Source organism: Homo sapiens, chromosome 2, assembly GCF_000001405.40.
Source record: "Homo sapiens chromosome 2, GRCh38.p14 Primary Assembly".
NCBI classification, from domain to species: Eukaryota; Metazoa; Chordata; class Mammalia; order Primates; family Hominidae; genus Homo; species Homo sapiens.
In genome coordinates this window covers 184,386,752-184,410,430 of record NC_000002.12, presented here as the reverse complement: position 1 = coordinate 184,410,430, position 23,679 = coordinate 184,386,752, and the positions used below count along the sequence as shown (strand labels likewise).

General features: G+C 33.8%; 2 long non-coding RNA genes across 3 annotated transcripts in view; one reads left to right on the top strand and one right to left on the bottom strand.

Moving 5' to 3' along the window:
• LOC102724340 (uncharacterized) overlaps positions 1-23,679 on the bottom strand; it is a 246,221-nt gene that overhangs the window by 26,060 nt on the left and 196,482 nt on the right. The window lies entirely within an intron of this gene.
• Positions 15,043-23,679, top strand: part of LOC105373776 (uncharacterized) — a 116,629-nt gene continuing 107,992 nt past the window's right edge. For both annotated transcript variants that reach the window (XR_923649.3, XR_001739817.2), the window contains exon 1: positions 15,043-15,104. This is a non-coding gene — a long non-coding RNA (uncharacterized LOC105373776). The remainder of the gene's footprint in view (positions 15,105-23,679) is intronic.

Genomic DNA, 23,679 nt, shown 5'->3' with positions numbered 1-23,679 from the left:
ACAAGTATCTGATAAGGTGGCTTCTAGCTAATCAGGCTTTTATCTATGTTGTCTTCTTACTGACAGATTAATTGCCTGAATTGCCTTTTTATTTTTAAGTATTCCTGAGAAGGAAATTTAGCAATTAAAATGATTTAGACTTTGCTGTTTATATAGCAGTTTAAATGACATTTGAAAGATAGTGGAGGAAATTAATAAATGATTATACAAAATAATATGTAGCAGAAATATGTTTGTTGCTATAATTAAAAGTGTGTAGCTTAGTAATCCAGGTCAGTTTTTACAAAGAAACAACGAGTAGTGCTTTTCAAATGGCTTTAAAAATTGATTGCTTTTAATCAGTCATATTTCAAGTTCAGGCATGGATTTGAATATTTAATTAACTGATTTTTGAAGTAATATGTTATGCACTTCATTTTTATGTGGTTGGTAAGTACTTTGTTGTAATGATATAGTGAATATTCATAAAAGTTTAATTAACTAGAAACTTCAAATCAGTATATTAAGAACAGATTTTTATGTTTTTAATTATTAAAGAAAATGTGCCAATACTGATTTTTATTTTCCCACTTCATTTTAAGTGTTGCTGTATATATTCACTATAGAAAAATAAGCAATACAGGAAATACATATTTTAAAATATTTAATTATCAGAAATTATAGCTCCAAATAATAATATTGCTAAAAATTAGAAGCATATATTTTAGACTTGCCCCCATAAAGCTACAGATCTATAAATTGTACACAAATATGTACATATGTTATTTCACAAATTAGAATCATTACAATTCATATAAGTGTATTTCTTTTGATACGTGTTGAATATGTTTCCATGCCAATAAAAATCTATTTTTATAAATATAAATTTGGCCATATAGAGTCTCATTGCACAATGATACCAAAATTTATGTTACCACTTCTAAATTTCAGTTATTAGAAATGACATTTGATTATGTATATATGTATGTGTACAAATACACTAATTATATATGTGATATATATATTTATACACATATATCTTAAATGTATGACTGATCTTATTTTTGCCATGAGACAAAAAACTAAAAATAGAATATGAAAAAGCATCAAGTAAAACTTTTGATATTTGACTAATTTGTCTCCAGAAAGAAAAGACATACCAATTTAAACCCCATCAGTTACTTCTGTAACAGTAGCAGTTGGAAATGTACAGCCTATGGGCCATATCTGGCCTACCAATATTTTTGTAAATACAAGTTTTGTAAATACAAACACCCATTTGTTTACATACTGTCTCTAACCACTTTCACAGTAGTTGTGACAGAGACCATGTATTATGTGTATTATGTTTAAAATGGCATAAATTATTAACTATCTTCCTTTATAGGATAAGTTTGCCAACCTCTGTGTTACAGTGTTTCCCCTAAATATCTGGTTTTATATTTATTGATGGAACAACAAATATAAAGTAAAATAGAATAAATTATATCCATTTTAATTTACTTAACAACTGAGAGCCTTTAGGGTATCCATCACCCAAATAACATGCATTGTACCCCTTAACTAATTTCATCCACCCCCTCCCACCACCTCACCCTTCAGAGTCTCCATTGTCCATCATTCCACTCTCTCTATCCACATGTACACATTTTTAGCACCCACTTATGAATGAGAATATGTTATATTTGACTTTCTGTGCCTGTCTTGTTTCATTTAAGATAACGGCCTCCAGTTCCATCAATGTTGCTGCAAAAAATATGATTTCACTCTTTTTTTAATAGCTGAATAGTATTTCATTAAATGTGTGTGGATATATATATATGTATACATACATATATACTTATACAGCATATTTCCTTAATCTATTCATCCATTGATGGACACTTAGGTTGATTGATTCCATATCTTTGTTATTGGGACTAGTGCTGTAATAGACATATAATTATAGGGTTGTTTTATTATTATTTCTTTCTTTTCTTTTGGGTAGTACCCAATAGTGGGAATGCTGGATCAAATGGTGGTTCTACTTTTAGTTCTTTGAGAACTCGCCGTAGTGTTTTCCATAGAGGTTGTGCTAATTTACATTTTCACCAGCAGTTTATAGAGTTCTCCCACATCTTCCCCTACATCTGTTATTTTTTGTCTTTTTAATAATGGCTGTTCTGACTGGTGCAAGATGGATGATGTCTCATTTTGGTTTCAATTTGCATTTCTCTAATGATTAGTGATGTTGAACATTTTTTCACATGCCTTTTGGCCATTTGTATGCCATATTTTGAAATTGTCTATTCATGTCCTTTGCTCACTTTTAAATGGGATTATTTCTTGTTATCGTTGAGTTGTTTAAATTCCTTGAATGTTTTATATATTAGTCCCCAGTTGGATGAATAGTTTCCAAATATTACTCCCATTCTCCAGATTGTTCACTCTGTTGATTATTTCTTTGGCTGTGAAGAAAAATTTTAGTTTAATCAAGTTCCTTTTGTCTGTTTGTTTTTGTTGCCTGTACATTTGAGGTTTTAGTCATAAATTATTTGCCTAGACCAATGTCCAGAAGATTTCCCCCTAGGTTTCCTTCTGGTTTTATTATGGTTTCAGTCTTTCATTTGAGTATTGAATCCATCTTGAGTTGATTTTTGTATATGGTGGGAGAAACAGGTCAAGTTTTATTCTTCTGCATATGGCAATCCAATTTTTCCGGCAATGTTTATTGAAAAGGCTATGCTTTCCCCAATATATGTTCTTGTTGGCTTTCTCAAAGGTAAAAACCTTTAGTAGATTATCGGTGGAACCAGCCCCCAATATTTCAATGTACGTTCTTTCTATTTTCCCAAAGTGTTGGCCAGTCTGAGAAATAAAGAGAAAGAGTACAAAGAGAGGAATTTTACAGCTGGGCCTCCAGCGGTGACATCACATATCAGTAGGTCTGTGATGTCCCCAAGCTGCAAAACCAGGAAGTTTTTATTAGGGATTTTAAAAGGGTAGGGGGTGTACGAACAGGGAGTAAGTCACAAAGACCACATGCTTCAAAGGGCAATAAAGATCACAAGGCAAAGCGCAAAATTAGAATTGCTGATGAGGGTTCATGTCCCTCTGTGCATGTATTGTCTTGATAAACATCTTAACAGAAAACAGGGTTTGAGAGCAGAGAACTGGTCTGACCAAAATTTACCAGGCTGGAATTTCCCAATCTTAGTAAGCCTGAGGGTACAGCAGGAGACCAGGGCATATTTCAGTCCTTATCTCAACCGCATAAGACAGACACTCCCAGAGCAGCCATTTATAGACCTCCGCCCAGGAATGCATTCCTTCCCCAGGGTATTCCTTGCTGGGAAAGGAATTCAGCGATATCTCTCTTACTTGCACGTCCTTTTATAGGCTCTCTGCAAGAAGAAAAACATGGCTCTATTCTGCCTGACCCCGCAGGCAGTAAGACCTCATGGTTATCTTCCCTTGTTCCCTGAAAATCGTTGTTATTCTGGTCTTTTTCAAGGTGCACTGATTTCATATTGTTCAAACACACATGTTTTACAATCAATTTGTACAATAGTGGTCCTGAGGTGACGTACATTCTCAGCTTATGAAGATAATGGGATTAAGAGATTAAAGACAGGCATAAGAAATTATAAGAATATTATTAGGGAAGTGATAAATGTCCATGAAATCTTCACAATTTATATTCAGAGATTGCAGTAAAGACAGGCATAAGAAATTATAAAAGTATTAATTTTAGGAACTGATAAATGTCCATGAAATCTTCACAATTTATGTTCTTCTGCTGCAGTTCCAGCTGGTCCCTCTATTTGGGGTCCCTGACTTCCCACAACAGTAGATTTATAGTTATGTAACCACTGCCAAAATCCTGTTTTAGAGTTTCAAAAAGATTCCTAATGCACATTTGCAGCAATTCCCCTATTATTACCCCAGTTCTTCATAACCAGTAGTTTCAATCTAATTTCTGTTATTAAATATTTGCCTTTTAATGACAGTTTCTGTAAATGAAATCATGTGTGATTGTGTTTGTCCAGGTACTAGTGAATGCACCTTTGAATTGTTTCCACTTTTTGGCTATTTTGAAGAAATTCTCCTATAGACATTTATGTACAAATCTTCAGGCAGAGATATGTTTAAAGTTCTCTTCATAGATACCTAGAGTTAGAATTGCTGGGGCATGTAGTACATTTTGTGTAACTCATTAAGAATTTGCCAAATTGTATGTAAAGTGGTGGCACTATTTTACATTTCCATCAGATATATATGAAGTTTGCATCTTCTCAGCATAGTCCCTTATTGTCTATCTTTTTTATTACTGACATTCTAGTAGGCCTGAAGTAGTATCTCATTGTAATTTTTTTTTTTTTTTTGAGATGGAGTTTTGCTCTTTAGCCCAGGCTGGAGTGAAGTGGTGCAATCTCTGCTCACTGCAACCTCTGCCCTCCAGGTTCAAGTGATTCTCCTGCTTCAGCCTCCCAAGTAGCTGGGATTATTGGCACCTGCCACCACTCCTGGCTAATTTTTGTTATTTTAAGTAGAGATGGGGTTTTGCCACGTTGGCCAAGCTGGTCTGAAACTCCTGACCACAGGTGACCCACACGCCTCATCCTCCCATAGTGCTAGGATTACAGGTGTGAGCCACCATGCCCAGCCCTCATTGTGATTTTAATTTGAACTTCTCTAATAACTAATAACTTCTTTCCATGTGCGTACTAGACATTTCTATATCTTCTTTGGAAAATATCTATTTAAGGTTTGCTGATTTTCAATTGGTTTGTCTTTTAATTGTTATCTACATATTTTGGATACGAGCCCTTATCTCATATATATATATGTGTGTGTGTGTGTGTGTGTGTGTGTAATAAATATGTAATATATATATTTATTGTGTATTTTTCCTCTTACGTGGGTTATCTTTTCACATTTCTTGATAGTTATCTTTGAACTGCAAAAGTTCTCAATTTTTTTCTTATTGCTTATAATTTTGGTGTATAACCTAAGAATCCATTGCCAAACAACACATGACAATAAAAGATACATGCATTTTCTTTTTTTCTTTCTTTCTTTTTTTTTTTGATACAGAGTCTCACTCTGTTGCCCAGGCTGGATTGCAGTGGTGCCATCTCGGCTCACTGCAAGCTCTGCCTTCCAGTTTCACACCATTCTCCTGCCTCAGCCTGCCTAGTAGTTGGGATTACAGGCACCCACCACCACGCCTGGCTAATTTTTTGCATTTTTAGTAGACACGGGGTATCACCGTGTTAGCCAGGATGGTCTCGATTTCCTGACCTCGTGATCCACACACCTCAGCCTCCCAAAGTGCTGGGATTACAGGTGTGAGCCACCATGCCTGGCCACATGCATGTTTTTCTAAGAATTCTGTAATTCTCAGAAAACAGGTATTTTTATAAAAAGTTTGTAATTAGAGCTTTAATCCATTTAGAGTTAATTTTTGCATATAATGTGATGTGTAATCAAACATAGCAAAGAAAATCTGAGGGTCTAAAGAGAAAACAATTGAACTCCATTGAATATAGTCTGCTTCTGCATCATGAATTTCACTAATCAGGGTTTAATGACCATTTCAAAGAGGAAAAATTTTCTATGTGAAAGATGTGCATATATGTATGTGAAAATACCATAATACCATATGTATATGATAAAAATGAGAGGGTTGTTTCACATTTTAGCATGGAAGAGAGAGCACTCTATGTCTCTGTCATAACCCAAAACAGCTAGATTATTTCCGTAGGAAATTTGGAATCTCTGGAAGACATAAAATTCACCCAGTGTTTGACAGATTATATAGGCCAGGAACTGAATTACAAATATAATACCCATGGATAAAACTATAGTATTAACCTAGTTTAAGCACATCCCATAAACCCTATGGAGTCCAGATAAATATCTGCATTATTTAATGATGACAGAAATTCTATAAGATTGTATTCTGGAGAGAATTTGCTTCTTTTGTTTGTTTGTTTCTGTTTAGTAAGGCATTATACCTAAAAGAAAGTGTTTGCTGTGTTTGTCGGCTCTGCTGGTAAACATCAGGGCCCCTAAATTGTCATAAAATGATCCATGAAGGACTTCTTTGAAATGTGTGACATGACACTTGTTTATGCACATCAGGAAAGCAAGGGTAGAAATATCCTTTGTAGTTTAGGGACCTACAACCAAGCTAATAAAAAGAAAACAGTGATGGACATAAATACCCTAACGTAGCCACTTCTGGTTGAATTCACCAACAGATTTGTAAATAAATATCACTGGTTAAAAACAACCCCACACTAGAGTAATTTCTATTATTTATAATTTTTTATTCTGTACATATATATAAGTGTTTAGATATACAAGTAGCAGTTTGGCAAGATTCAAGATTATATTAAACAGGCTGGGTGTGGTGGCTCACGCCTGTAATCCCAGTACTTCGGGAGGCTGAGGCAGGCAGATCATGAGGTCAGGAGATCAAGACCATCCTGGCTAACACAGTGAAACCCCATCTCTACTAAAAACAAAAAAAAATACAAACAATTAGCCGGGCATGGTGGCGGGAGACTGTAGTCCCAGCTACTCCGGAGGCTGAGGCAGGAGAATGGCATGAACTCGGGAGGCGGAGCTTGCAGTGAGCTGAGATCATGCCACTGCACTCCAGCCTGGGTGACAGAGCGAGACTCCATCTCAAAAAAAAAAAGAAAAGATTATGTTAAACAAGAGGTTTCGAAAAACTTAAGAATGACACATTATATAAAAATTTTACAAGAATGTCCACTTTTTAAAAATTTATTATAAAAATCAATTTTAGAAGTAAAAATGTACGCAGAATGGGTTAAAAATGTTCTTTCGTCACTAAGACCTTTGAGAAAATTTAATTATTTAAGAGTATGCATGAGAAACATTATATAGATGCTGATACAACTAGAAAAATATTCAAATGATTGTCAAAGATGTTAATTCTATACGATGACATTAGAAACGAGTTACTGAAAATTTCCTTGGTCTCATTCAGAAAACATTAAAATTTTGAATCAATTGCTTAGATGTAACAGAAGTGAAATTAAAAAATTTTTATAAGCATGATACAAGCACTGATAAATCAGTGCAGACACAGGATTTAAAACACAAGCTAAATATGAGCACAGGAACACATATTTTAGAAAGGACTTTTACTTAAATAATGAATCATACACAATTATAAGAGAATTAGAAAGCTATTACACAAATTAGCAAAATTGGGATTCTAAATAATGAATCTTCCTTAGTGCTTATAAGCTAGATCCATATACCATATCTGCTACTTAAGGTTCTTTAGCTGTACTCAAAGACACAACTGCAAAGTTAAAAGTTATGGAATGCTTAAAGACTGTTAATAGAAAACAGCAGTAAAAATCTCAAATGACTACATTTGCTGTGATTTTGAAAATGCAATATGCTTGTAGAAAAACAAATCAAATTTAATAAAAAACAGGATTAGAAGAAAAATAATGTTTGGATCTTAATCTCTATTATCTCCACAATACTCTATCCTGGACCAATTAAATGGAAATGTCTTATTAGACTTATTTGCCTCATTTTAAGGAATGGTATTTACAGGCTGTAGTCTATAAAACACAAGATTGGCCTTGTGTTTGAAAGGTCTTGAAGCTGTATGACATGAGAAAACATTAGGAAAAGGTAAGATGTTTCACTTACATAAGGCAAGACTTATGAAATACAAAAGAAATACCTTCAGATAGCTGATGTACTGTCATGGAAAATAGTGGCTAGATTAAATTATGTTGCTGTAGATGACAAAAACAACTTTTATGTGTGACAATTATTCAGAGACAGATTTCAGTTCAGTACAAAGTGGTGTGCCTCTATAACAATTAGAGCTCCTGTTGGACAGTTCCAAGGGAATGAGCTGTCTCTCAGAGTGGTGCATTCCTGTCACAGGAAGTGTTCAGCTGAACCTGGATGAACACTGGTCATGGATACCATGGAATGTTTTTCAATTTTAGAAGGAAGATATAATCAGCTGACCTTTAAGCTTGTTTCTCCCTTCCATATTCTCATTTTATGGGCACTTTGACACATTTCAATGTTATAAACTGTCATTCCAATCTATAATTTGAGGTTGATATTACATGAACCTGTAATCTGAGTGACAGTGTTTCATGATTTACGCCCCATTAAATACTAGTAAACAATATATTTTTATATGCAAATTGTTTTCACTTTTATTTTGCTATCAAGGCTTGTGTCTCCTACCCTACCATCTTGGTGATGTCACTCTTTACAATAATTGGATTTCATCAAGAAAACATGCAAATATATTTGTACACAAGTAGATAGTTATACATATGTATTAAATAATTTATAACATTGTCATTGTAATTTATTCTTTTTTTCTCAGTTAGCTATGGTATTTTAAATATTCAATATATTTTACTTTATTTTAAATTATCAAAACATCCTGTTCTCTTGGGCCAGTAAATGAATTAGATTTTTTGACTATTTGTTGGTTGGTTTGTTTATTGGAGGACCCAAACATTTCAAAGAATTTATTGTGTTAGTTTGTTTTGCACTGCTATGAAGAAATACCTGAGACTCTGCAATTTATTTTTTAAAAAGGATTTATTGGCTCATGGTTCTGCAGACTATACAGGAAGCACGGCAACAGCATCTGCTTCTGGTGAAGTCCCAGAAACCATCCAATCATGGTGGAGGGGAAAGGGAGGATACGTGTCACATGGCAAGAGTGGGAACAAGAAAGAGAAGAGGAGATGCCATGTCATTTTAAACGACTTGCTCTCATATGAACTACTAAAGCAAGAACTCACTCATTACCAAGGGGTTGGCACCAAGCCATTCATAGAGGATCCACCCTCATGACCCAAACACCTCCCACTAGGCCACCCCCAACATTGGAGATCACATTTAAACATCAGATTTGAAGGGGACACACATTCAAACTATATCATTGGTTTTATGCAGTGGCCTCGTTAAACTGTATATGTCATGCAGGCCAAAGACAATATTTGACATGTGCATAGAAGGATTAAAATTACATATCTCAATCCACATAGGCAATATGTCTGATCCTCCCACCACTCTACCCACTGCACTTTGCTGGGTTTAACCTGTTTTAGTTTTACATAGTTTGCCTTTGAATATTTTGCTTTTTGCATGATGATTTAATTTAATTCTCTTAAGCTTACTCATGCATTTTGTTAATATTATATTTTACTGGGGAATAAGGGTGTCCAAGTGAAACCTCTATGCTTGTAGCACTCTAGTAAATTTTATCTTCTTCATTCAGAAATTTGAAGAATTCTTATACTCTCTCTTAAAAGTGATTGCACTGTTATTCTTTTATTTTCAGTGGGCTTACACTAATATTTTGCCTTTTTTCTTCCTTTCCTAGCATATCCAAAAGGTATGAACTAAATATATACTGAGCATACCACAATCTCTCGTTTCCAAGTAGTATTTTTAAATTTTACCAATCTTGAGTACTAAAAAGTAGAAAAAATGAGTAAGACTTACTATTTGACAGCACAATAGGGTGACTATAGTCAGTAATAACTTAATTGCATATTTTAAAATAACTTGAATATAATTTGATTGTTTGTAACTCAAAGGATAAATGCTTGACAGGATGTAAACCCTACCCTCTGCAATGTGCTTAGTTCACATTGCCTGCTTGTATCAAAACATCTTATGTACCCCATAAATATATACACCTACTATGTACCCACAAAAACTTTTTAAGACTTTTAAAAAATCACCAACCAACTAATTTATTTGTTTAGTTAATTTACTGGAAGTAAAAGTATTAAAACAATGTTTATTACTTTTATATAAAGACTACAGTGCTGTGGAAGAATTCATCAGTAAGTTTCTGCAATTTAATACCCAGTCAACTCTGTCAAACCAGTGTTAACATTATTTCCATCAAACATTAAATGTGGGAAAGAAATTTCTAAATATAATTCTGGAAAATAAATGTGTACATTTGTACACACACATGTGTAAATATGTTTGTAGACATACATAATTATTGATACATGTATTATATAATTTCCAATTAAATAAAGTATATGTATGGAGTTGAATATGTGTGTGTGTATGTGTGTGTGTGTTTGTGTATGTGTGTGTACCAGCAAAGATACAGCAGTGGCAGATAAGCTAATATTACAGAGAAAAAGTATCCATTTCATAAACTTGAATTTTCCATGTTTATAACACATGCAAACTTATTATAGTTTAATTTGTATAATACATTGTCTTTAAAAGTCTAATTCATTTAATAATTACTAATAATATGTGCAAAAATTACAAATAAATATTATGAAATAATATAAGGCGTTATTCAAAAGATCAAACAAGTTACAAGGATGATGTCTACCTTCATATAAATGTCTTGGATAAATCGATGGGAATTTTATTTTACTTTTATTTAACCCTTGATAGTCCCTGGCTAACCCAGGAAGACACTGAAACTATCATTTGTGAGTTTATACTACTTTTAAGTTCATTTAAATTGAAACATTAATTTCATTTAAATTGAACCAAGTTTCAATTTAAATAAATGTCACTTTTCAATGTGTATAACCTAGAAAACATACTGAAAACATACAAATGATTCAGATTGAAAAACAGAGTCATGCATCTTTTTTGTAATCATTTTCATTGATGCTTTGCTTCACATTATGATACCCTGGTCCCTTAAAAAGAGAAAGAAAGAATAAAAAAGAAAAACATGTAGAGTCTCAAATTTCTATACTATAAGCTACAAATTATAAGAATCATGTCTTCCTTCACAATTTTGCACACTGTATTTTATCATAGGGTCTGGCAACAGTAGGTGGCACTAACTATTCCCTTATATTTTAACAAATATCGAATTCTAAGCAAATAAAGCTCTTTTAGAGATTGAATTGGTAAAAAAAAAAAAATCAACAAAGAAATACTTACTAATCAAACAGCATATTAAAAGGATTATTTAACATGACCAAATGAGATTTATCCTAGGAATTCAAGTGTGGTTAAACATAAGAAAATAAATAAATATAATGCACTATGTTAATAGACTTAAGAAAAACAACACGTAATCAACTTACTTGATGTAGAAAATACAATGGACAAAAAATCAACATCCTTTCATGCTAAAATATTCAAAAATCAAAGAAAAGAAGGGAATTTTCTTAACCTATTAAAGGCTATTTATGTAAAACTCATAGCTAACATTATACTTGATGGTGAAAGACCAAAATGTTTCTCCTTATGATCAGGAACACAAGGGTGCCTGCTTTCGACCACTCTTATTCAACTTTGTACTGGAAGTGCTAAATGGAACAATAAGACAATTAAAAGAAATTTTAAAAAAATCCAAATTAGCAAGGAAGTTACTTCTGTTTATAAATGACATCATTCTACATAGACAGCATCAAATAATCCACAAGAAATCTTCCAGAGCTACTAATAAATTCAGGAAAGGTGTAGGATACAATATCAATATGCAACAATCTGCCAAATGAAATTATGAAAGCAAGTCCATTTACAATAACCTCTAGAAGAATCAAATACTAAATAATGAATGTAATGAAGGAGGTGAAATACTTGTACATTGAAAACTGTAAAACATTGGAGGAAATTGAAAAGCCAATCTTTAAATTCATATGAAATTTAAATTGGCCCCCAATAACCAAAACAATTTTGGAAAAGAAGAACAATGTTGGAAGCCTCATACTTCTCAGGTTTGATGCCTACTACAAAGCTACAATAATCAAAAAAGTGTTGTATTGGCATAAGGATAGACATATAGACCAGTGGAACAGAATTGAGAGTCCAGATATAAATCCATACATGAATGAGCAGTCGATTTGTGTCAAGGTGCCAAGTCTACTTAGTTGAAAAAGAATAGCATCTTTGACAAATGGTGGTGAGAAACTGGCTTTACATATGTAAAATAATAAAATTAGACTCACATTATGTAAAAATTAATTGAAATGGAACAACAGCCTAACGACAAAAGCTGAAAGCATAAAACTCTCAGAAGAAAACGTAGGGGTTAATCTTCTTGACCTTGGATATGGCAAGAGAATTATAAAGTGACACCAAAAGCACAAAATACAAAGAAAAAATGTATATTGAACTTCATCAAAATTTAAAAATGTTTGTGGATCAAACAATATTAACAAGAAAGTGAAAACTGGCGGAATGAGAGAAAACATTTGCAAATTATATACTAAAATCAGAATTTAATATCCACATTATATAAAAAACTGTTAAACTCAACAACACACAAACTACCGTATTTTAAAATGGGTAAAGAAATTAAATAAACTTTTCTCCAAATAAGATATACAAATGGCCAAAAGAACATGAAAAGATGTTCATCATCATTAGTTATTAGTGAAATGCAAATAAAAAGTACAACTAGATACCAATTTGTACATCCTAGGCTTTTTATATTAATAAACAAAAAGGGAAAATAATTTTTTGTGAGTGTGGAGAAATTGAAACCCTCATACATTGCTGGAAAAATGTAAAATGGTGCAGCTGCTGTGAAAAACAGTTTAGCAGTTCCTCAAGAAGTTCAACAAAATTATCCTATGACCCAGCAATTACATTTCCAGGCTTATACTCAGAAGAATTGAAACAAGGACTCAAACATTTGCACCAATACTTATTGCAGCATTATTCACAATGACCAAAATGGCGGAAAGGTGGAAAGAATCCAAGTGTTGATCAACAGAAGAATGAATAAACAGAATGTGATCTATACATATAACAGAATATTATTTAGCCAAGAAGGAACAAAGTTTTGATATATGCTACAACATGAATGAAACTTGAAAACATTGTGATGGGCTCAATAAGTCAGATAAAAAGGTCAAATAATTTATTATTTTACTTATATAAAATATTTATAAATTCATAGAGATAGAAACTAGATTAGAGTTTGCAGATACTGGAGGGAGACAGAAATGGAAAGTTGTTGCTTAATGAGTACTGCATAACTGTTTGGGATAACGGAAAATTTTTGGAAGTAGATACTGGTCATGGCTGTACAACATTGTGATTGTCATTAATGTCACTGAATGGTACAGTTGAAATCATTAAATTTTCAAATTTTATGTTAGATGTATTTTATCTCAGTTTAAAAAATCAAAATATAAAAAATTAAATCGTTTTGAAAGCAGCATATCCATATATTTCTACTCTAAAAGATAGAAGCTTATTCTGCTCACACATAATAAACAGTTTTTGTGCATCTAGCACCAGTGTTTGGCTGAATAAATAATCTCTACTTAAGGAGGTAACAGAGGTGAAAATACTTTCCCTTGTTAATTTCTGTTTGTGTCCCACAGCCTGTGATTGTACTTCCAAATGATGTCTACATGACACTAATAATTCAACCAGTTTATTATATATATATAAGTCTTAATTTTTGTTCTTATTTCTTCTAAAAAAAACGGGATTCATATGCGGAACGTGCAGGTTAGTTACATAGGTCTATGTGTGCCATGGTGGTTTGCTGCACCTATTGACCCATCCTCTAAGTTCCCTCCCCTTGCACCCTACCCCCAACAGTCCGTGGTGTGTGTTGTTCCCCTCTCTATGTTCATGTGTTCCCATTGCTCAACTCCCACTTCTGAGTGAGAACATGCGGTGTTTGGTTTTCTATTCCTGTGTTAGTTTGCTGAGGATGATGGCTTCCAGCTGCAAAGAACATGATCTCATTTCTTTTCATGGCTGCATAGTATTCCATGGTATATATGTACCACATTGCCTTTATCCAGTCTATCATTGATGGGCATTTGGGCTGGTTCCATCTTTGCTATTGTAAATAATTCTGCAATAAACATATATGTGCATGTCTATATAGTAGAATGATTTATATTCCTTTGGATATATACCCCGTAATGGGATTGCTGGGTCAAATGGTATTCCTGGTTCTAGATCCTTGAGGAATTACCATACTGTCTTCCACAATGGTTGAACTAATTTACATTCCAATCAATAGTGTAAAAGTGTTCCTATTTCTCCACAGCCTTGCCAGCATCTATTGTTTCCTGACTTTTTAATAATTGCCATTCTGACTGGCGTCACACGGTATCTCATTGTGGTTTTGAATTGCATTTCTCTAAACAGAGACCTCAGAAATAACACCACATATCTACAACCAGCTGATCTTCCACAAACCTGACAAAAACAAGCAACAGGGAAAGGATCTCCTATTCAGTAAATGGTGCTGGGAAAACTGGCTAGCCATAGGCAGAAAACTGAAACTGGACCACTTACTTGCACCTTTTACAAAAATTAACTCAAGATGAATTAAATACTTAAATGTAAAATCAAAACTATAAAAACCCTAGAAGAAAATCTAGGCAATACCATTGAGAACATAGGCAAGGGCAAAGACTTCATGACAAAAACGCCAAAAGCAATTGCAACAAAAGCCACAATGGAAAACTGAGATCTCATTAAACTGAAGAGCACAGCGAAAGAAACCATCATCAGAGTGAACAGGAAACCTACAGAATGGGAGAAAATTTTTGCAATCTACCCATCTGACAAAGGTCTAATATATGGAATTTACAAGGAACTTAAACAAATTTACAAGAAAAAAAACAAACAACCCCATCAAAAAGTGGGCAAAGGATATGAACAGACACTTCTCAAAAGAAGACATTTATGTGGCCAACAAACATATGAAAAGAAGCTCAACATCACTGATCATCAGAGAAATTCAACCACTTTATATTACATTCTTCATTAGACTGACTTTTGGATCACAGAATCTGTGAGAATTATTTATTTTAATATTTTAGAGAATTTTTAAATAAAATCTATGGATTAAGCAAATGTGGTCTATTAATTAAAAAATCTGATGTAGTTCAATTGTTTTCCTGAAAGATCACAGTCTGTCACAGTTACATTGAACAAATTGATTGCTATTTGATTTTACTGTTGCTTAATTAAATAAAGTTATTCACTCATATTATTATTAGATATCTTTGGGAATATCCCAAATGTGCCCAAGTTGTCTCGTACAAATAATGAATTTTCCTTTTCCAAAGAATGATATGGCTGTACCAAATAAGAAAATGTGTTTAAGGAAGAAACACCAACATGTACAGGTAAGCTATACAGTATCTGCCTGAAACAGCATAACTTACCTCTGTAAACCTAAGCCTAAAACTACCTTAATTAAAAATTCTACCTACTTCATAACATTTCTGTGTCAGCAGATAGACTAAGGAAGCACATGTCCCTCTCTGTTCCTAATAAGGCAAAAATAAGTAACAAATAAATTTCAGCAAGAGGTGGTTTGGTTCAGAAATGTTCATATGGGTTAAGATTACCAACTTGCCTGAATAAGGAAAAAACTAAAACTTTGATTTGTTTATATCTCTTTGTTTGCTAAAGTTTCTGTTTCCTATGGTTGAAAAACAATATCAGAGTATAATCTACTCCTATTTTTGATTGACATAACATAAACCCAAATATGGAAATCAGCAAAATAGCTAACATTTTTCTAAACAAATGATTTTCAAGTCCCTGTGTAATAGAATATTTAGTGAAACATTGATGGAATCACAAACATGAGCATACCTGGCAAAGTGCCTGGCTCATTCAGTGAACTAATAAGTTAAATTGGATTTTTTTCATGTATTTTCCCCCTAGTCAGTATCATTAGTAAATCTAAAACAAGACACACACAGACACACACACACACACACACACACAACTGGGGAGAGAGAGAGAGAATTAAATTTAGAGTTACAAAGCTAAATTTAATGCTCCCTACATAAAATATGATAGAGAAAATGCTAATACACATTAGGAATGAACACTTAAAGCCTGTGTCCCATTTTTGTCACAATTTATTATAAATAACTTTTTAGAACAAGGGTTTAAAAAAAGAAAAATTCTCAGGGCATCTGGCATTTTCAGATGTTTTCATCAACATATCCCAGAGGTTGAAAATGGCCTAGGATATTTTGAATTTTGAGAGCCCCAATATATTATAAATGATGAAATATCAAAGCAAGTTTATCAAAATGAGGTTAGGCTTTAAAGGATTACAGATAGTCAGTTGATAATTTTAACACATTGAAAATACACTGACTTTATGAATAACCTCAGTTGGAGATTAATATCAAAAGTGTCATTGCTATGTCCTTCATGAAAACGAGACCCAGCGCCCTCTATGTGGCCCTTAGTCCTGTTATGCATAATTCCCACATCACGAAGATTACCCTGCAAATGTTAGAACTATTTTTTCCCTTAATTATTATTGATTGTGATAGAAATGTTTAAAATATATTTATTTTCCTTTTAAGAGATTATTTAACTTAATGTCATAAAGCATCAAAAATAAAAACATCAAATATTACTATTCACCATTTCAATGACATTATATTACCATATGTTCATTAAATGTGAATGACATAATTCTGTCCCTTTAGAATGTTACACTATCCATCTAGAGGTAATTCAGACATTCAATATTTATTCAGTGCTTGTCATATGCGAAGCCCTATTATAGGCTCTGAAGAAATATCAAGAAAGAAAACACACACACACACACACACACACACACACACACACACACGAACCCTATTCTTAATGTAGCAGTCAAGGCAGAGGTTGAGGGGAACAATAGAAAAAGTAATGATTTTATTTATTGAAGTTTTGAAAATATTTAATATTAATAAAAATTATGCTTATTGCAAAATTAGAAGCAATACAGGAGAATATAGTAAATATTAAAAGTCCTCCCTTTCTACTTCTCCACAAAATCCCGCTTATGAGGAGGGCTATTGTTAAGTTCTTATATGTATATGTATACTATATATGAATCATACTGTCTCCATAATGACAGGAAAAAAATATTTATATTCAGACATACACACTTATGAATAATTGATCTACATATTTATAGCCATTTTCTATATATATACACATATGGATTTTTTCTATGTGTGTAATGTATATACATGATCTTACTGCTGAAAGTTGTATATACTAGAGATGAACAAATTATTTATTTTAGCTCTCTAAATCTAAGTATTTCTGATTCCAAGAGTTGATAGAACAAATCACTTCAATCTTTCATTGTAATAATTCTTATTTTTGTGTTTCATGACTCCAGGAGACATATTGAATATATAGAAAATAGAAAGACTCTGTAATCTTCAGTTCTATATGGTCAGTGTATACCATACTTATCATTATCCATGTCAGCACGATCCTTTGAGATACAAGGTATTCAGTTTCAATGTTAAATAATCCATATTAGCCTTTTTCTAGGCTGAGAATTCTGGGCCGTAAGGTTTAGTCTTCTAGGCAGCATTCTTCCTCCTCCCCTCAAGCCTGCCTCTCACTTTGCATCCCATCCATTCCACACTGAAATTATATCACTTCCCTGGAGTGTTGAAAGCTAGCAGAGACCACAGATAGCAACTCTTCATGTAATCTGCAGACTAGCATCAGCATCTGAGGCTCAGGTGCTTGTTTGAGTGCTCGCTGTCTCCCTCTGCTTTTCTCTCATTTCCCTCTTCCTTCTTCAACTTTAAGGGGTTAGAAATTCAAATTTTTATGGGGGTGGGAGACATAAATTTAATGTGGGAGGTAGCAGAGTATACTACCTTCAGGAGGTATCATTGTTTCTTCTCTTTAACCATGCCTTACTCGGTAGCTCTGTTTGAATTCCTCTGATAACAGTGCACCCATCACATTACATATAATATTAAATTTTATTTGTGAATTTAACGAGTTGTAAGAAAGTTATGCTTTCCTTGAACCACAATATGTCATTGGGTAATGTCTACACATTTATTTTAACACAGATCTACTTGTGGAACTAATAGTATCAGGCCAATTCTTCTAACACACAAAGCTCCAAGACTATTTGAATAAAAGTTCCATAGCCTCTCAAAGGCATCTCTTCTGTTAATTGAACTCTATCCGTTACTTGTTTTTCATGGAATATCTTCATGAGATATTTTCTCCATATTCGCTGTCCTCTGCAAAATTCAACCAAGGCCTTATTTAACATGTTTTAGCATTGTTCTTAAAATGTAACATTTAATACTAGGCATAGAACCAGAACTCAATTTTATTTACCAGAACTCACTTAAGAAGGACTAAATAATTATTTTCCCTATGTGTTCTATTTTTTCATTAGGAAATGAAATTCAACATGAAAACTAAAACATTATACCAACAATTTTTGAAAAATTATGACTATAATAGCTTTATAAATAAGGATATTAATGATTCATATTGAATTACAATGCATGTTTATCTTAAAGACTAGGATATGGAAAACCACTAGCTAAAGATTATAGATGTATTTGTTACTATGTACTGTAAACAAACAAAAACAAACAAAAGACTGCATTAAAGTAAACAGATAAGAGTTACACTGTACTTACTCTGATTTGTAATTAAATAGCAAAGGTAGCAGGACTTCAAAATACATTACTTTTGGGGGACCAACAAAAATAATATTGAGGCAACAATGAATGACGGCAAAACTTAAATAAAGGCCCATCTGTGTGAACATGTGTAGTACAAACTTTACAATTGTGTACAAGCCCGTTTTGCTAGTAGACTTAGTTATCTTACTAACTTTAACTTTATTTTTAATATCAAATTTGAATAATCCTTATTAAATTGCCATTAGTTACACTCCACTTATTAATTCCCTCATTTCTTGCACACATAGTTTTAGCATGTACTGTCTTTTGGGCACTGTTCTGAGTTCTGGAGCTAGTTTGATAAAAAAGAAAATGAAAGTCATTGCCCTTCATGCACCTTATATTATTATTATTTACATTTTTATTTTTTTAATTTTTAATTGTTGTGGGTGCTTACTAGGTGTATATATTTATAGGACACATGAGATGTTTTTATACAGGCATGCAATACATAATAATCACATCACAATAAATGGGTTATCCATTCCCTCATTTATCCTTTGTGTTATAAACAATCCAGTTATACTGTTTTAGTTATTTTAAAATGTACAATTAAATTGTTAACTATAGTCACCCTGTTGTGCTATCATATAGTAAGTCTTATTCACTCTTTATAACTATGATTTTTATTGTACCTATTAACCATCCTCAACCCTCCCCTGCCCTGCACTACACTTCCCAGCCTCTGTCAACCTTCCTTCTACTCTCTATGTTCATGAGCTCCATCGTTTTGATTTTTAGATCCCACAAATAAGTGACAACATATGATGTTTGTCTTCCTGTGCCTGACTTACTTCACTTAACATAATGAACTCCAGTTCCATCTGTGTTGTTGCAAATGACAGGATCTCATTCTTTTTATGGTTGAATAATATTCCATTGTGTATATGTACCACATTTTTTTATCCATTCATCTGTTGATGGACACAGGTTGCTTCCAAATCTTGGATCTTGTGAATAATGCCACAGCAACAAACATGGGAATGCAGATATCTCTTCAATATACTGATTTTCTTTCTTCTGGGCATATACCCAGTAGTGGGATTGCTGGATCATATGGCAGCTCAATGTTTAGTTTTTGCGGAACCTCTGAACTGTTCTCCATACTCGTTGTACTAGTTACATTCCCACCAACAGTGTATGAGGGTTTCTTTTTCTCTACATCCTCACCAGCATTTGTTATTGCCTAATATTTGGATAAAAGCCTCTTTAACTTGAGTGAGATGGATATCTCATTGTAGTTTTGATCTGCATTTCTCTGATGATCAATGATGTTCAGCATCTTTTCATATGCCTATTTGCCATTTGTATATCTTTTCAGAGTAATGTATATTCAAATATTTTGCCCATTTTTAAGTCAGATTATTAGATCTTTTTTCATATAGAGTTGTTTGAGCTCCTTGTATATTCTGGTTATTAATCTCTTTTCAGATGGATAGTTTGCAAATATTTTCTCCCATTCTGTGTGTGGTCTCCTCACTTTGTTGATTGCTTCCTTTGCTGTGCAGAAGCTTTTTAACTTGATGTGATTTCATGTGTCCATGTTTGAATCATGCTTGCATCCCAGGGATAAATCCCACATGGTCATAATAAATAACCTTTTAAATTTATTGTTGAATTTGGTTGGCTAGTATTTTCTTGAGGATTTTTGAATCAATATTCATCATAGATATTGGCCTTTAGTTTTTTTTGTTTTTTTGATATGTCTTTGGTTTTGGTATCAGGGTAATACTGGTCTCATAGATTTGAGTTTGGAAGTATTCGCTTCTCCTCTATTTTTCAGAATAGTTTGAGTAGGATTGGTATTTGTTCTTCACATATTTGGTAGAATTCAGCTGTGCAGCTATCGAGTCCTGGATTTTTCTTTCCTTGAAGAGTTTTTATTCTAGCTTCAGTTTTACTACTTGTTATTAGTTTGTTCAGGTTTTGCATTTCTTCATGGGTTCAAACCTGGTAGGTTGTGCATCTCCAGGAATTTGTCTATGTCTTCTAGATTTTTCAATTTACTGGCATATAATTGGTCTATAATGCAGATTAAGTCCAATAATTTTTTGTTGATATTATTTATGGAAGATCTTTCCAATGCTGAAAATGGAATGCTGAATTCTCCAGCTATTATTGTTTTGGGGCCTATATCTCTCATTAGCTCTAATAATATTTGCTTTATATATATGGGTACTCTAGTGTTGGGTGCATATATATTTAAAATTGTTATATTCCTTTCCTGAATTGACCCATTTATAGAGTGACCTTCTTTGTCTCTTCTTATAGTTTTTGTCTTGAAATCCATTTTGTCTTATATAATTATAGCTACTCCTGCTCTTTCTTAGTTCCCATTGGCATGAAATATCTTTTGTCCTCCCTTTATTTTCAATCTATGTGTGCCTTTATAGGTGAAATGTGTTTTCTGTAGGCAACAGATCAATGGATCTTGTTTCTTTATCCATTCAGACACTCTATGTCTTTTGAGTGGAGAGTTTAGTCAATTTACATTCAATGATTCAATGTAATTATTGATTAGTAAGGACTTACTCTTACCATTGTGTTATTTGTTTTCTGGCTGTTTTGTGGTCTTACCTTTCTTTTAATTGGTATTATCTTTTTTTTTTTTTGAGAGAGAGAGAGTTTCACTCTTGTTGCCCAGGCTGGAGTGCAATGGCATGATCTTGCCTCACCGTAACCTCTGCCTCCCAAGTTCAAGTGATTCTCCTGCCTCAGCCTCCTGAGTAGCTAGGATTACAGGCATGTGCCACCATGCCAAGCTAATTTTTGTATTTTTTAGTAGAGATGAGGTTCCACCATGTTGGTCAGGTTGGTCTCAAACTCCCAACCTCAGGTGATGAGCCCACCACGGCCTCCCAAAGTGCTGGGATTACAGATGTGAGCCACCACATCTGGCCGGTATTATTTTCTTTTTTCTTTCCTTCCTGTTTTCCTTTTAGTGAAGGTAATTTTCTCTGGTGATGTGATTTTGTTTCTTGCTTTTTATTTTTTGTGTATCTATTGTATAATTCTTGGTTTTAGGTTACCATTGGGGTTGTAAATACTATTTTATAGCACATTATTTTAAGTTGATAACAACTTAAAAATGTTTGTCTAAATAAACCAATAAGCAAAAAGAAAACTAATAAAGACTCTATGCCTTAACTTCATCTCTCCACTTTTTAACTTTTTGTTGTTTCTAATTATATCTTATTGTACTGTCTATGTTTTGAAAAGTTGTTGTAATCATTTTAATTGGTTCATCATTTAGTACTTCTTCTTAAGATTAGTTTGCACACCACAGTGTTATAGTATTACAGTTACATTGTTATAATATTCCGTGTTTTTCTATATACTTACTTCAGTGAGTTTTGTCCTTCAGAAGGTTTCTTATTGCTCATTAACATCCTTTTCTTTTTGGTTGCAATAGTCCCTTTAGCATATCTCATAGGACAGGTCTGGGTTGGTGAAATCACTTGGCTTTTCTTTATCTGGAAAAGTGCTTATTTCTCCTTCATGTCTGAAGAATATTTTCACCATATACAATAATGTAGGGTAAAAGTTTTTGTTTTGTTTTCTTTCTTCATCACCATCTTCAATATGTCATGCCACTCTCTCCTGGCCTGTAAAGTTTCCACTGAAAAGTCTGCTGCCAGACATATTGGAGCTACATTGTATGCTATTTGTTTTTTTTCTCTTGTTGTTTTTAGGATTCTTGTTTTATCCTTGACCTTTGGGAGTTTGATCATTAAAGGCCTTGAAGCAGTCTTCTTTGGATTAGATTTGCTTGGTGTTCTATAACCTTCCCTTACTTGGATATGGATGTGTTTCTCTAGTTTGGGAAGTTATTCATTATTATCCCTTTGAATAAACTTTCTACTCTCATCTCTTTCTCTATATCTTTTTAAGGCAAATAACTCTTATATTTGTCCTTTTGAGGCTGCTTTCTGGATCTCGTAGGCATGACTTATTGGTTTTTATTCTTTTTTTTTTTGTCTCCTCTGGATTTTCAAACATCCTGTCTTCAAACTCATTAATCTTTCTTCTGCTTCATCAACTCTGCTATTAAGACTCTGATACTTTCTTTCATGAGCCAATTGCATTTTTCAGCTCCAGAATTTCTGCTTGATTCTTTTTCATTATTTCAATCTCTGCTAAATTTATCTGATGGAATTATACATTCCTTTTCCGTGTTATTTTGAATTTCACTGAGTTTCCTCAACACAGCTATTTTAATTTTCTGTCTGAAAGGTCATGTATCTTTGTCTCTCCAGGATTGGTCCTTGGTGTTTTATTTAGTTCATTTGGTGAGGTCATGTTTTGTTGGATTGTCTTGGTACTTTTCAATGTTCATCTGTGTCTGGGCATTGAAGAGTTAGATATTTATTTTAGTTTTAGCAGTCTGGGCTTCTCTGTGCACATCCTTCTTGGAAAGGTTTACCAGATATTCAAAAGGAAGTGGGTGTTGTGATCTAAGTTGTATCTGCTTTATGGGGCACCTGAAGCCCAGTAACACTGTGGTTCTTACAGACTCATTGAGGTACCGCCTTGATGGTCTTGGACAATAACCAGAAGAATTCTCTGGATCACCAGGCAGAGACTCTTCTTCTCTTCTTTTACTTTCTCCCAAACAACTGGAGTCTCTCTGTTCTGAGCCACATGGAGCTGGGAGTGGAGTGACAGAAGCTTCCCTGTGTCCACCATCACTATGACTGTGCTGTGTCAGATCTGAAGCCATCATAGCACTACATCTCACCTATGACCTGTTGTAACCACTCCCTGGCTACTGCCTATGTTCACTCAGGGCCCTGCAGCCCTACAATCAACAGGTGACCAAGGCAGCCAGGCTTGTGTCCTTCCCTACAGGTTGGTGAGATCCACCGGGCCCTAGGCAGAGCGAGAGGTATGATCTGGGAGCCAGGAACCAGAGTGAAAAACCTTAGAGGTCTACCTGGTATTCTATTGCACAACAGCTGAACTGGCACTCAAACCACAAGATGTTGTTCCTCCTCTTCCTTCCAATTCCAAAGGCAGAGGAGTCTCACTCTGGGCCATCACCACCACAGGCCCATGGGGAGTAATTGTCAGTCTACCACTGTTGTTCCCTTAAGGCCCAAGAGCTCTTCAATTAGCCTGTGGTGAATGCCGCCTGGCCTTGGACTCACCCTTGAGGACAGAGTGTGTATTAGTCAGCGTTGTCTAGAGGGAAGAACCAATAATATATTTATAAGGGGAGTTTTTTAGG